This window comes from Homo sapiens, chromosome 14 (genome assembly GCF_000001405.40).
Source record: "Homo sapiens chromosome 14, GRCh38.p14 Primary Assembly".
NCBI classification, from domain to species: domain Eukaryota; kingdom Metazoa; phylum Chordata; class Mammalia; order Primates; family Hominidae; genus Homo; species Homo sapiens.
Genome location: NC_000014.9, coordinates 21,198,876 through 21,213,738, shown reverse-complemented (window position 1 = coordinate 21,213,738; position 14,863 = coordinate 21,198,876). Strand labels below are relative to the sequence as shown.

The 14,863-nt window shown below is 39.3% G+C and overlaps 1 protein-coding gene and 1 long non-coding RNA gene across 20 annotated transcripts in view; both read left to right on the top strand.

Moving 5' to 3' along the window:
- HNRNPC (heterogeneous nuclear ribonucleoprotein C) overlaps window positions 1-4,592 on the top strand; it is a 60,296-nt gene extending 55,704 nt beyond the window's left edge. For all 18 annotated transcript variants that reach the window (NM_001077443.2, NM_001077442.2, NM_004500.4 and 15 more), the window contains 4 exons: window positions 622-779; window positions 1,816-1,929; window positions 2,173-2,333; window positions 2,433-4,592. In NM_001077443.2, coding sequence (NP_001070911.1) covers window positions 622-779; window positions 1,816-1,929; window positions 2,173-2,333; window positions 2,433-2,516 — 517 coding nt within the window. In that variant the 3' untranslated portion in view covers window positions 2,517-4,592. The remainder of the gene's footprint in view (window positions 1-621; window positions 780-1,815; window positions 1,930-2,172; window positions 2,334-2,432) is intronic.
- On the top strand, window positions 6,839-13,660 carry LINC00641 (long intergenic non-protein coding RNA 641). Of its 2 annotated transcripts, NR_038971.1 has the most exons (2): window positions 6,839-7,128; window positions 11,806-13,660. It is a non-coding gene; the product is annotated as a long intergenic non-protein coding RNA 641 (long non-coding RNA). The 2 variants fall into 2 exon arrangements; NR_038970.1 differs by lacking the exon at window positions 6,839-7,128 and having other exon boundaries at window positions 8,236-13,660.
- The last annotated feature ends 1,203 nt before the right edge of the window (window positions 13,661-14,863 follow it).

The window sequence follows — 14,863 nt, the reverse complement described above, 5'->3', positions numbered from 1 at the left end:
TTTTTATCAGTAGTATTTATACCCAGCCAACACATTTTGCTATGATTCCCTCAGTTACATGAAATTGCCCTGATTTTATAGATCTGAAATTTTATATGGTTCAACCTTATATCACTAGTTGTAATAATTCGTGTGCTTCTGTGGGTGAAAAGAATCAGAGATTTCGCTAATGCCATATACCACTGTTTATATACCCTTTTAATTGGAACATTTTAAAGAGTATTTGACCGTATGTGAATTGTTTATTGTAATGTATATTTGAAAATAATAAGATCCAAAGGCTATTCATTATAATAAATGCCCTGTTAATACTGACACTAGTACAGAGGAATCATTTATATCCAGTGCCAAAGGCCAGCCAACCATATAATTTGATATATGTTTTATTTTCCTGAGGAAAAGTTGCTACAGTATTACAACTATTTTATGTGCCTAGGTAAAGAAATAATGGGATAAGATTTCTAAACCCCACTGTGGAGGTTTTTGCTGGCCTTCTTAATGAAATTTAATAAAAGGAAACGACTAGAGACAATATTCACTTACTATTTATCATAAGGTCTGTTGAATTGTGCTGAGTTAATGTTAGGTTTGAATGAATTCCATTTTCCTCTTATCCAATAGGATGTACAGTTACCCAGCACGTGTACCTCCTCCTCCTCCTATTGCTCGGGCTGTAGTGCCCTCGAAACGTCAGCGTGTATCAGGAAACACTTCACGAAGGGGCAAAAGTGGCTTCAATTCTAAGAGTGGACAGCGGGGATCTTCCAAGTCTGGAAAGTGTATGTATTATTTCATTTTGTGATTTTGGTATCTCTTGTGTTTTGAGATAGGGAAGCTAATGCAGTTACAATATTTTTGTGCCACATGACTTTGTGTATTCAAAATAATGGAAGAGGCTGGGTGTGTGGTGGCTCATGCCTGTAATCCCAGCACTTTGGGAGGCCCAGCGGGTGGATCAGCTGAGGTCAGGAGTTCAAGACCAGCCTGTCCAACATGGAGGAACCCCATCTCTACCGAAAATACAAAAAATTTGCCGGGGATGGTGGTGCGTGCATGTAATCCCAGCTAATTGGGAGGCTGAGGCAGGAGAATCGCTTTTACCCAGGAGGCGGAGGTTGCAGTGAGCCGAGATCATGCCATTGCACTCCAGCCTGGGTGACGAGCAAAACTCCATCTCAAGAAAAAAAAAAAAATCCAAAATAACAGAGGAGACAAGATTGTGATTGAGTGGCCAATTCTAGACTGCAACAGCTAGGTAATTTAAAAAATGTCATTTGACTTTATGTAGTTGAGGTGTGCGTTAAGTTCCTGAGATTTTTTTGTGTTATTTAAAAACTAAAATTCAGACAGTGTTCAGTATGTTGATTTTTTTTAACTTTTCTATATTGAACTCCTCCTGTAACTGGAAATATGGAAGGCAGTAAAACATTACAGAAGGTCTGATGCAGTGGTGCGTGCCTGTAGCCCCAGATGCTTAGGGGGAGGCTAAGACCCTGGGGATCTAGGCTGTAGTGGGAGGATTTCATGAGGCCAGGAGTTTAAGTTCACTGTGATCATACGTGTGAATAGTCACTGTCCTCAGGCCTGGTCAACATAGCGACAGCCCTGATCTAAAAGACATTAAAAACAATAAAAACCATTACAGAACGTGCTTTATAATAGAACCAAGGGCCTTTATTACCGAGAAATCTGTACTGGCTCTGTTTCTCCCTGGGTATCTCCTGTGAGCTCCTGATGTAGTCTGGTGGCAGTGTATTTGCTAACTCATATCTTCGGTACATTTGATTTTAATCTAGTATTTTGTTTATATTAAAGTGAAAGGAGATGACCTTCAGGCCATTAAGAAGGAGCTGACCCAGATAAAACAAAAAGTGGATTCTCTCCTGGAAAACCTGGAAAAAATTGAAAAGGAACAGAGCAAACAAGCAGGTAAATGGGTTTTCTGCTTGCCCTTGGTATACAGTTGGGTTAGTTACATAAGGCACTTGAAAGTACATGTTGGAATAGTGGAATATAAAGCAATGTAATATGAAACTTGGGGAGTGTGAATTGGGAAGGGTATTTGTGTGGGAGGATTTAGATTTGTGCTGCAGTTCTGTGATCCTTAGTGGGGATTGTCTACGTCCTGTGGACATTACTGCCCCTAGACAGACTTGTCCTTCTCATCCGCAGTAGAGATGAAGAATGATAAGTCAGAAGAGGAGCAGAGCAGCAGCTCCGTGAAGAAAGATGAGACTAATGTGAAGATGGAGTCTGAGGGGGGTGCAGATGACTCTGCTGAGGAGGGGGACCTACTGGATGATGATGATAATGAAGATCGGGGGGATGACCAGGTGAAAACCACGGGAAAGGAAAGAAAAAGGTGGTGGAGGGGGGCTCAGGGACACATGGAGTGCCTCTAACTCCATCCTGTTTGTGTCTGTTTCTCACAGCTGGAGTTGATCAAGGATGATGAAAAAGAGGCTGAGGAAGGAGAGGATGACAGAGACAGCGCCAATGGCGAGGATGACTCTTAAGCACATAGTGGGGTTTAGAAATCTTATCCCATTATTTCTTTACCTAGGCGCTTGTCTAAGATCAAATTTTTCACCAGATCCTCTCCCCTAGTATCTTCAGCACATGCTCACTGTTCTCCCCATCCTTGTCCTTCCCATGTTCATTAATTCATATTGCCCCGCGCCTAGTCCCATTTTCACTTCCTTTGACGCTCCTAGTAGTTTTGTTAAGTCTTACCCTGTAATTTTTGCTTTTAATTTTGATACCTCTTTATGACTTAACAATAAAAAGGATGTATGGTTTTTATCAACTGTCTCCAAAATAATCTCTTGTTATGCAGGGAGTACAGTTCTTTTCATTCATACATAAGTTCAGTAGTTGCTTCCCTAACTGCAAAGGCAATCTCATTTAGTTGAGTAGCTCTTGAAAGCAGCTTTGAGTTAGAAGTATGTGTGTTACACCCTCACATTAGTGTGCTGTGTGGGGCAGTTCAACACAAATGTAACAATGTATTTTTGTGAATGAGAGTTGGCATGTCAAATGCATCCTCTAGAAAAATAATTAGTGTTATAGTCTTAAGATTTGTTTTCTAAAGTTGATACTGTGGGTTATTTTTGTGAACAGCCTGATGTTTGGGACCTTTTTTCCTCAAAATAAACAAGTCCTTATTAAACCAGGAATTTGGAGAAAAAAAAAACCCTGGTTTTTTATTTTTGTATTTTATTATTGTTTACTTCAAACTTTGTTTTACAGCGTCCTCCACAAAACCTCTAGAATGCACTAGATATATTTTTCTTGGAGTCATAATCATGATGCATACCAACACAACACTACTCAAATTATATTTCATTGAGATGCATGTTGCATTGAGGAGTCAACTTGACATAGAGTGGAGACTTTTTCAAAATGGCTTTTACATCCTAATGAAAGTTTGGGAAGTATATCCTCTCTGCCTTTTCATCAGTGCTTTGTGGTCCAGCTGGCACCCTTTCTGAGGTTTGTGTTTTGTGCTAAATGGTTTTGTCCTTAAATAGGAGAGGCTCAAAAACATCAAGATTTCAGGAAAATGGCGACAGCTGCATAATGGAACCCCCCTGCTTCTATTTTGTTCTTTTAATTACTATTTATAGCCCCAGTTACCTTCTGAATTCTGAAGTGTATATACCTCCATGTTCCTGAAAACAAGAAAACTCTTACTTCCTGATATTCCATAGACTGCCTTCCCAGGTGATTGAGAACATAGAGAATGTTACACATTTATTTTACTCTAAATGATCTTTTACCCCTGTTAGCTAATCTTTGTGTTTTCCTCAACTTTATTAATTACAGTGATTGCATTTTTAGCATCCAGTTGTAAGATGAATATATTAAACAGCTACCAGTGTTGGTGATACCTCATCCTTGAAAGGCTTAGTTCATTTGTGTTTTATACTTCAGTTTTTCCAGCATAGCAGAAAATGCCGCTTATAATTTTTGTGCACACAAACCTTGGATTCCCCTGTAAAGTTGCTATTGTTTCATAGCATGCGGCACTGGCCTTTTTTCATCCTACTCATTACAGGCAAAACTCATGTCTTATTTATGAGGATTTTATAGATCATTTTCTGTAACAGGTGACAAAAGCAGAAAAGAATGAAGAGGCTGAAGTATGAACTACCCTTGGAGCCCATATACATGATATAGGCAATTTCTTTTGTATGTTAATTCAGTCAAAAATACTACCCACTTGATGTTTTCTAATCTGATGTGAGCTCATGTTACACAGACTTTTAGTAAGTAACCCGTGACTAGAAAATAAACTGGATGCTTAGGAGAGAGTGTCAGATGTATAAGATGCTAATAAAACCTGTTTAATATTATTGTTAGCTGTAAGTTTTTGGGAAATACTGAACAAATTAGTCCACAATCAAGTGTCTACTTTTCCCTTCACTGTAGGGCCTCTCCCTGCACAGAGCAGTCTGTTTAGCTGTGAACACCACAATCTGCAGATGTTCAAGTCCCTTACATAAAATGGCATAGTATTTATATGTAACCTATGCATATTCTCCTGTATATTTTAAATCATCTCTACATTAAAATACCTGATAAAATGTAAATGGTATGTAAATAGTTGTAACTTTTTTTATTTATATTTTTGTTAACTTTTTTTAGTTTTTTTTCTTTGCTAGTATTTTCGATCTGTAGTTGGCTGAATCTGCATGTGCAGAACCCATGAACATGGGGGGCCAACTATACATTTTATTCTAGGAAAGCAGGTATTGAATGAAGCTGTGGAGAGCGCTTTTTAATATTAGGTTGGTGCAAAAGTAATTGTGGCTTTTGCCATTACTTTTAATTAGCTGCAGTTACTTTTGCAAATAGCCGTAGAGCATGATCACAGATTGAAAATCTATACACACATATGGTAGGGTTGTTGGAATACTGACATGTCTAGTTTGTGTTGATGGGGAAGTCATTTCACGCTCTTGGTTTTAGGCTACGCTACTGTGGCTTAAATTTCCTCGTGTTTAAGACAACAGTACTCTAGGTTTTCTATAATCACAGGTGTACTCATTGAGTACTTTGACATTTAGGTTCCTAGGCCAAAACTGTAGCAAAGTAAAGAGACCAGGATTGAAATACCACATGGTAAAAGGCTTTTAAAAATCTGATCTAATGCAGATAAGTACAGGCTTTTTGGGAAAGGGGCTAGTGTTTTTAAAGGCCATTTATCAGATGATATGCTTATAGTCAGTGTGACATTACTTAACCCTGGGCCCTGCAAAGTAAGAATTGAGTTGGCTCAATAGAAATTCAGAATAGTAGGCATGGCAGTGCAGGTAAAGGGGTTAGATCTGACGGTAATAATTGAGTGATTTCTGATTTAATAATTGAGGGATTTCAGATTGATAGTCTGATTACACTGCAGTAGTGGAAGTAAGATTTAAAAGTAAAAACATTTTAATTTGGGATAAAATTCAGAACACAAGTTTCTCAATATGCCATGAAATCTAAGAAAATGTCCTGCAATCATTCAAGAATGCAGTTTTCATTTCAGGGTTAGAAAGCAGGAGAGGAGGTAGATAAAAAATCCTTAGTAACATTTTTTTCTGGTGCTGCATAACGTATAATTGGGAAACTTCTTCTAGGGTAATTAATAAATTGCTGCTGTCTCAGTGGGATGAGCTAACTGGAAGCTGTCAGGTGGGAATGGATGCTAAATTTGGGATTCTCAAAAGGAGGGCTCCTCTTGTATTTCACTTCTGATGTTAATATTACCCCAACATGCAAAGATTGTGTGATTAGTACCTATTACTTACGTGGTTTAAATCCTCTTTTTCAGAGGGAACCGGGTGTAATAGAAAAGGAAAATAATGTAAATGGGAACAAAAAGGTGGTAAATTGGAAGGAAATGAACAGGTGTCAAATTAGGATTGGGAAGAATGTAATAGTACAATAGACGTAACCATCATTTAAACCATAAGATAACCATGAAGTGTGAACATACGAATCTACTATAACTTGGCAGTATGTTTTATTCAAGTGTTAGGGGAAGCAAAACCCAGTGTATAATATAGAAAGTACAGAAGTAGAGCAGATGATACACTATATGCAAGTACTAGTGTTTTGAGATAACCTTGATGAAACAATGTGCTTTTGAAAGTAGTCGCAGGATAGAGAAATTGTGTATATTTAATGTGATCAGCTCAGGAACATATGCCTGGCCTGTCAGCATTGACTGACCAATTTTATTTCAGGGGAAAACCAGAAAACATACTTATTCCTACTGACAGTTGACCTTTTTATTTATTAGGGGAATTCAGCTACACTGATGTCAAATGGAGTTTCAGTTTCTGGACCCTAGTTCACATCACATTGACCAAAAAAATGCATTTCATAGGAATTTAGAAGCATCCAAGAAAAAGTACCCTGACCAGAAAACCAGTCGACAGTAGTAAACATATGATGTAGAAATGATTGACCAGTAAATGAGTTACATATAATATGTGGATTATGGTCTGAGTACCTCATTCACACTAAGAAGGAGCACTCTGTTGGAGAATTCTAGTGTTTGGAGAGAACTTGGTATAAAGTAAAAATGTAGCCAGTTGAACTGCAGAGTAAAAGAACGTAGACATACCTGACCAGACAAAAGCTTTCCAAGTGTTAGGAGACAGGAAGTAAATAAAGTAGAAAACTGCAGAATTTGTGTTTGCATTAGTAACTTTCAAGTTAAATCTCAATTTTGAAAAGCAGGGCTTCTTCATTGGAGTTAACGCCCTTTGTGAGTAGAACTACAAAGCATAGTAAGAGGAAGGGGAGAACAGTGTAAGGGGGTGAATGCAAATGACAAAGGGATTAGTAGGAAGGAGTTAGAACCCAAGATAAATGCAGATAGGAAGAGGAAAGCATGTTTGGATTGTTTTTTTCAAGTGGCACTCAGAAATAAAAGTTTGGAGAAACATGGCTCTGAAGCTCTGACAAATTTGCATTTGCAAAAATAACTCCTACAAGACTTTCAGAAGTCTAGGAAAATTGTGGCTTTTGGATTATTACATTACCAAATTTGTGGAGTTTAATAGGTTTCAACTGTCAATGTGCATTAAAATTTCCTGGGAGCAGGGGGATGGGCTTTTAAATTCTGATGTCCAGGTGTGTGCTCCAGGCCTACTAAATCTCTGGGGTTGGGACTCTTCGTTGTTTTTTAAGTTGCCATAATTCCAATTTTTGGCCCAAATTGTGAACTACTCACCAAAGGCAAAACAAAACAAAAAACCCTGTGTGATAAAGAGGGGTGAGGATTAGGAAAGGACACGGGTTTCAAGAAACGGTGGCTGGGTGGCTGGCCAATAAGTTTAGTAGAGGGATGACTGTATATGTCAGAATTAAGTGCAGTAAGAGGATGTGTGAGTGGTATGTTTTCATCAAAGAACTGAAGGCAGCTAAAAGGGCCAAGGTGTACCCTCATTAAAGTCTAGGCCCCAGAGTAAAGAAGGCACCCAAAGAGTCATCTGGTGGTTAGGGAGGGGGAAAATTCCTTGTTATCAACGCATGTTACAGTGAGCTGTTAAAGCTATAGTACTGTCAGTAACACTTCGTGGCGATGGAAGTGTTTTATGATGCATTGACCAGTATAACAACTGGTGACTTTACTGAGCCTTGAGATGTGGCTAGTGTGAAGAGTTAGATTTAAATTTTTATTTAGAGACGTGTGACGTGAGACTACTTTATTGGATAGTTAAGTGCTGTAGAATATTGAGAAGTTTCCACACAAGTACTGCTAGTGGTTACTAACTCAAACGTACATGAACAAATGTGACTCCAATATTTTGTGTGTCCTGAGTTCATTGATGTTTTCTTTCCTAGACCTTAGGCTTTAATATTGAAGATTTCCCTAGTGAGGGCGTCTTCAATGGGACGATATTGCAGGCTTAATCCATGTTGCTCACACCTTCATATAGCAGTGCCTCTTACAGAATAAACTATTGTTAAATAGGAACCCATCTTGTCAATCAGTTGCTTCATGCCCAGGGAAGAGAGTATGTTTTATAGGCTTTGTGTGCAGCCTGTTAGGCCAGCGTTTAATTGACATAGACTGTTGTTTCTCAAACAACAGTTCTATTACGTACGTATGCAAATAATTTCTGTGCTTCAAGGAGCTTCAGAGAGATTGCCTTGTTCAAAGCCCTATGGTTATTCAAATGGTAGAGCCAAAAATTTGATCTATGTTCTGACTTAACTCCATGGGCTTTGGACCTTGGCAGAGGAAATGGTGTCTTTGAACTGTAGTCTGTAGTCCTAGAAATTGAATAAACTATTTCCTAAATAGAGGTAAGAGACTAGGATCCTAGCAACTTCTCTAAGTTAACAAAAGGGGAAAAATATCCCCATACCATTTTTCTCTTCATTCTATTAATGAGGGCTAGAGTCGTTTCATAGATTGAATAGTTTCAAGAGCATATTGAGCAGTGCCTGGCTAACAGCTGAAAGTCTGCCATTTCATGCAACTTTGTTAGGCTTTAGAAGTGAAGCAGGAATATAGAGAAAATACAGCTTCTCCCACCCACAACGTGTATTTTAAACCATTTCTTCTGGCCCAGAAGACAAACTTTTCCAAATATCTTGGGAAAACCACAGTTTCTACTCTTTGGAGACAAGAGTCTCACTCTCACACCCAGGCTGGAGTGCAGTCTCAACTCACTGCAACCCCTGCTCTCAGGTTCAAGTGGTTCTCCTGCCTCAGCCTCGTGAGTAGCACTCGACACCACACCTGGCTAATTTTTTTGTGTTTTTTGTAGAGATGGGGTTTCGCGTGTTGGTCAGGCTGGTCTTGATCTCTGGCCACCTCAGCCTTCCAAAGTGCTGGTATTACAGGTGTGAGCCACTGTGTCTAGCCAAGTTTCTACTCTTGATGCCTGCCATGGACTATTACAAGCACCTGGCAGTGACATTGCACGAGTTCTAAAGAAAGACTTGGTCTTTCCCACAGGGACATTAATGTGAAAGAGGTCCAGTGACAAAGATTCAGTCACTTTTGCAGACCCTCACAAGCCACAATAATGAAGTTGCAGTGAATTTGGGACATAGCCTTCCCTCCCCAAAATTCTTGATCCAAGAATCCACCCGTCAAGTTCAATGACTCAGACTCCATTTCTAGTGTGGTCGTTGGTTAACAACTTTACTAGTTTCCATCCAGGCTTAACCTTTCTATGGACCATAATGTCTTGGTGTCTGCTGCATTTATTGTCCCTCCCTGTTTTAAGGATACTTAAGTTTTTAAAGAGGCATAAATACTTCAAAGTCCCCATTGGCCCTCCTGGGGGAAATTACCTCAAACCACAGGGTAGTCTGCTAAATAACCAGCTAGAGCTAGCTGCCAGCCCAACTTTGCCCAGATCTACAATATTATTCTCGTTACTTTAGTTTACTCATCCCCCCAAACTTAGCTTTCCCCCAGAACTTTATATCCACTCTCCATAAAAGCTTCTGTAGCACCAGCTTGGTCAGTCCCAAGGTCCCAGGTGCCACTGGGGTCTGGTTGACAAAATTGTTGGTATGGTTTGGCTGTTTCTCCACCCAAATCTCATCTGTAATTGTAATCCTCATAATCCCCGTCCCCAGGTTGAGGGAGGGACTCGGTGGGAGGTGACTGGATCATGGGGGCAGTTTCCCCCATGCTGTTCTTGTGAGAGTTCTCATGAGATCTGATGGCTTTATGAGGGGCTCTTCCCCCTTTGCGTCCTACACAAACCCTGTCTCGCCTGCTGCCACGTAAAACGTGCCTGCTTCACTTTCTGCCATGATTTTAAGTTTCCTGAGGCCTCCCCAGCCACGCAGAACTGTCAAACAAGATCCTTTATAAATTACCCAGTCTTGGGGGGGTTTTATACAGCAGTATGAAAGCAGCCTAAACAGTTGTTTTCATACGTGCTGGAAATGCTGTGATCTGCCCTGCCATTGTCCCCATCCTGGACTGACCCTCAGTATTTTTCCTTTGAGTGGTGACCCAGCTCTTTGCCTTGAGCAGCAGGAGTAGCCCTTGGTAGAATCTAGTTCCCCAGGGGAAATCAAAGCAGCTTTATCTTCTCACTGTTAGCCAAGCACCTCTGGAGACAGCCTTAGTGTTTGCTCTTTTATCCCCTCTCACCTGGGAATACAATTGCCCCTGCAACATAATGGCCCTACTGTTCCCTCACCAACTCCCCCAGCATGGGGATCAGAAATATGGCAGTACTCCTCAGTGAAGTATATGCTGCTTTGTTTTAAGCACTCACCTGAATGTGTAAGGACATCTTTCCTCAAGAGCTTCTCACTTCCTGAGGAGTCTGTAGTCTTCATTCAAATGTCTTGATGGCTCATTTTCCAGAAATCTCTGTAGGTCTTGAGAAGCATTGTCCTAGCTTTGGTTTATCTGAATAGTCCTATTTAAACTTGTCCCACACAGATAGCAGCCTCTTGCTTGCCCTTCTGTTTGTACACTTGTCTATTTTCTCTTTCTTTAAATGCCTTTTGGGTGTTAATACTTCATTGGTGGTTCCATAGCCTTGTCCCCCTCTCTTTTGCAACTTGAAGGCAATTCTCAGTTCTCTTCTTGAGCACATTCATACTTAGCAGCTTCTGAATATCCCACCCACAATTAAGGTACAATCTGGTCACATAACTTTTTCCCTAGGAAGAAATGTGCTACTCAAGACTAATAGCCAAGGTTAAGAACGTGCATACTCCTGAATCGGATGTAAATGCATTAGTCTATTTGTTCTGTTTAGAAATAAAGATGGAACATATTTTATAGCTACTGTTAGTGCCCATGTGCCTTCTAAATATCTTTTGAATAGTTTTACTTCTCTCCATCTTGACAGCTACCATGCCAATCCAAGCTTCCATCACCTTGCTCCTGGCTTACTGCAGTATCCTCCTGTCTACCCTTCATCCACTTTTATCTCTTTCCAATCACTTGTTCATACAACAGCCATATTGGGTTTTTTTCAAAACACACATATAATCAGGGCACTTCTCAACTTAAAACCATTTCTGGCATTACTTGCCCTTAGGATAATGACAAAACTTTTTAACACAGTCCACAAGGCCAGAGATAGCCTGACCCTTGCTGATCTGTCCAGCCTCTGCTATATGTCCCCTTATTTTCTCTGTTCCAACCACATTGGACTTTGTTCCTCTTACTAGTCATGCTCCCCACCTATTTGGTTCCCTAGTTAACTTCTCTTCATCCTTCGATTTCAACTTGTGTCACTTCCTCCAGAAAGCCTACCCTTTCTTTCTTAACCAGGCCGATAGGCTGTCAAAACCAGGAATCTCTTCTTCGTAGCACTACAGTCATACTCATTGATACGTGTGATTATTAATGTGGGTTTTTTAAAAAATTAGAATGAAACTCAAGAGCAGGGACCACATCTATTACTTGTGATTAATATATTCCTAGTGGTTAGCACAGTGTCTAGACAAATATATGTTGAATGAATAAATAGAAAAGGGAGAGGAAAAAGGGAAGGATTGACCCTCTGTGAGGCAGTCTTGCAAACAGCAGAAATGCAAAGCAAAGCTGAAGAACTAACTATTCAACACACACCTAGAGGAGCGTTGTAATGTCTTGTGCCTGTCTCAAATGGGTGCATTCTTATGGGTAAGTTTTACTAGTCCAGCTTTCACTGTAATAGTTCACATTCCTCTCCTAGTGTCAGTCTCCAACAAATCCCTCAGTAATTCGTAATCAGTAATCTCATGCCAAGGATGAGAGAGGGGCATTATCCAAAAAGTTGGGTGTGTCCATTTTTTTTTGAGTCTTGCTCTGTTGCCCAGGCTGGAGTCCAGTGGCATGGTCTTGGCTTACTGCAACCTCCGCCTCCCAGGTTCAAGTAATTCTGCCTCAGCCTCCTGAGTAGCTGGGATTACAGGCGCCTGCTACCTCGCCCGGCTTTTTTGTTGTTGTTATTTTTAGTAGAGACGGTGTTTCACCATGTTGGTCAGGCTGGTCATGAACTCGTGACCTTGTGATCCGCCCGCCTTGGCCTTCCAAAGTGCTGGGATTACAGGCGTGAGCCACTGTGCCCGGCTGTTCATCTGTTTTTCAATACCTTTAAGTTCAGTTTCCCTTACAAAGCCCACTTTTTTCTTAGTGGGAATCTCTTGTACCACTTAACACCTACATTCCTTAATTTTTAAAGTTAAAACACTTATATACTATAAAATGGACACATCTTAAGCATACAGCTTGATGAAGATTTACAAAGTAAACATGCCAGTTGAAACACCACTCTGATCAGGATGTGGAACATAACCAGCACTCCAGAAATCTCTCTGCCATCATTACCACCACTGGTTATCCTAGCCACTCTTCTGACTTGTATCACCATAGATAGGTTTTACTTGTTTTGAAGCCATCTATAAATGGAATCATGGAAGTTTGGGCTTCCCTGAGAGCAGATCTTCAGAGAAAAAAAACTTGAGTGCAGTAGTTTATTTGGCGTTTGGCTCCAGGATGCAGGAGTGGGAAAGATGGTAGAGAGACAGAAGAAAAATCAATAGAAAGGTATTACGGAGGTTGGATATATAATGCTTCCCAGAATTGTCTGACTGAACAGGAGGCTGAAATATTTATCCGCTGGCTCCTGTTTCCAATTGATTGAGGGATGCCCCCAAGGAAGTTAACTTCACTGCAATTCTGAGCTGTAATTGACTTTAATAAGCTCCAACAGCACTGAAAGACGTTTGGATTATTTTCAGTTTGGGATAATACTACTATGAACATTCCTGTACATGTCTTTTGAGAACACGCATGTGTACATTTGTGATGGGTATGTAATGGGGTGGAATTACTGGTTCATAGAATATGTGCATATTCACCTTTAGATATAGAGGCTGCCAACCATTTTTCTGAAGTGATTATACTAATTTATATTCTCACTATCTGTAAATGAACATTTCTGTTGCTCCACATCCTTGCTGGCACTTGGTATTGATTGATTTCTCTTTTAATTTTAGGCTTTTTAATACGTGTGTAGTGATATCTCACTTGCTGTTTGTTTGCTTTTTGGTAAATTTTTTATTGAAGTATAATTTACATACAGAAAATCACACAAATTGTGTACAGGTGTGATTTTTCACACCGTGAATACATGCAAAAACTAGTATGAAATTAAGAGTTGGAACATCACCAGTACTCCAGAAGCCCCATGCATGTTCTCTTCCAGTTACTATACCACTATCCCAAGGATGGTCTATTAATTCAACAGCATAGATTTATTTTGCCTGTTTTTCAACTTCAAATAAATGAAATAATATGCACTCTTGTGTCTGGCTTCTTTGACTCAACAGTATGTCTATACAACTCATCTGTATTGTTGCATGTTGTAGTTCGTTCATTCATACTGTTGTATACAGTATTGAATTGTATAAATTACTCATTCTGTTACTATGCATTTGGGCTGTTTCCAGTTTTGGCTATTATGAATAAAGCTGCTATGAACATTCTAGAATTGTCTTGTTGAACATATGTATTTCTGCTGGGTATAAAGCTTAAAAAGGAAATTACTGGAAAATAAGAGTATTGCCTCATGTTACCTACCTGCTATTTTCACTGTAATTTCATCTATTCTGGTTGATGTGTAATAGTGTCATATTAGCATTTTTTCTTTGCTTTTATAAAATAAATGTTTTTATGTTGGAATGTTAGATTTACAGAAAAGTTACAAAGACAGTACAGAGTTCCTTATATACCCTTCATCCAGTTTCCCCCTTATGTTAATATCTTAATGTTAACATGGTAACTTTGTCAAAACTAAGAAACCAACACTGACTGGCACATTACTATTAACTAAACTCCAGGTCTTATTCAGATTTCACCAGTTCGTGTGTGTGTGTGTGTATGTGTGTAGTTGTGCACTTTAACCACCACCATAATATACAGAATTGTTCCGTTGCCACAAAGGAACCCTTGTACTACCCACTTATTGTCACACCTTATCACCCATCCTTTCACCACCTTCCCTAACCCCTGGAAATCACTAATCTTCACTGTAATTTTGTCATTTCAAGAAGTTATGAATGGCATAATATATGTGATACAAACATAGCATATGTTAACTTTTTGAGAATGGGTTTCCCCTCCACAGTATGATGCTCTTGAATTCCATCCAAGTTTTATTATATGTACCGATAGTTTTTCGTTTTTTAACAGATTGCTGTGGATGTACCAGTTTGTCTGACTGCTCACTCATCTATTGTAGGACATTGGGTTGTTTCTAGTTTTGGGCTATTAAAAATAAAGCTGCTATGAACATTTGTGTATAAGTTTTTGTGCATATAAGTTTCCATTTCTCTGGGATAATTGTCCTGGAGTGTGATGGTGGATAATATGGTAAGTATATGTTTAGTTTTATAAGAAACTGCCAAACTATTTCCCAGAGTTGCTATCTCACTTTACATTCCTACCAACAATAAGAGATGCAGTTCCTCTGCATTTTTGCCAGGATATAGGATTAGCACTAGTTTTTATTTTCACTGTTCTATCAGAGATGTATTGATACTGGTTTTCATTTGTTTGCATTTCCCTAATGGCTAATGATGTTTAACATGTTTTCATGTGCTTATTTGCCATCCATATGTCATCTTTGGTGAAATGTATCTGCATGCCTCTTGCCCATTTTATAATTGGATTGTTTTTAACCATTGTGTTTTGAGAATTCTTCATATATTCTAGATTAAAGTCCTTTGCCATGTGATTTGCAAATATTTTCTCCCAGTCTATAACTCATCTTTTCATCTTAACAGAGCCTTTTGCAGAGCAAAAGTTTTTAATTTTTATGAAGTCCAGTTTTCCTTCCTTCCTTCCTTTCTTTCTTCTTTCTTCAGACAAAATCTCACTCTTGTC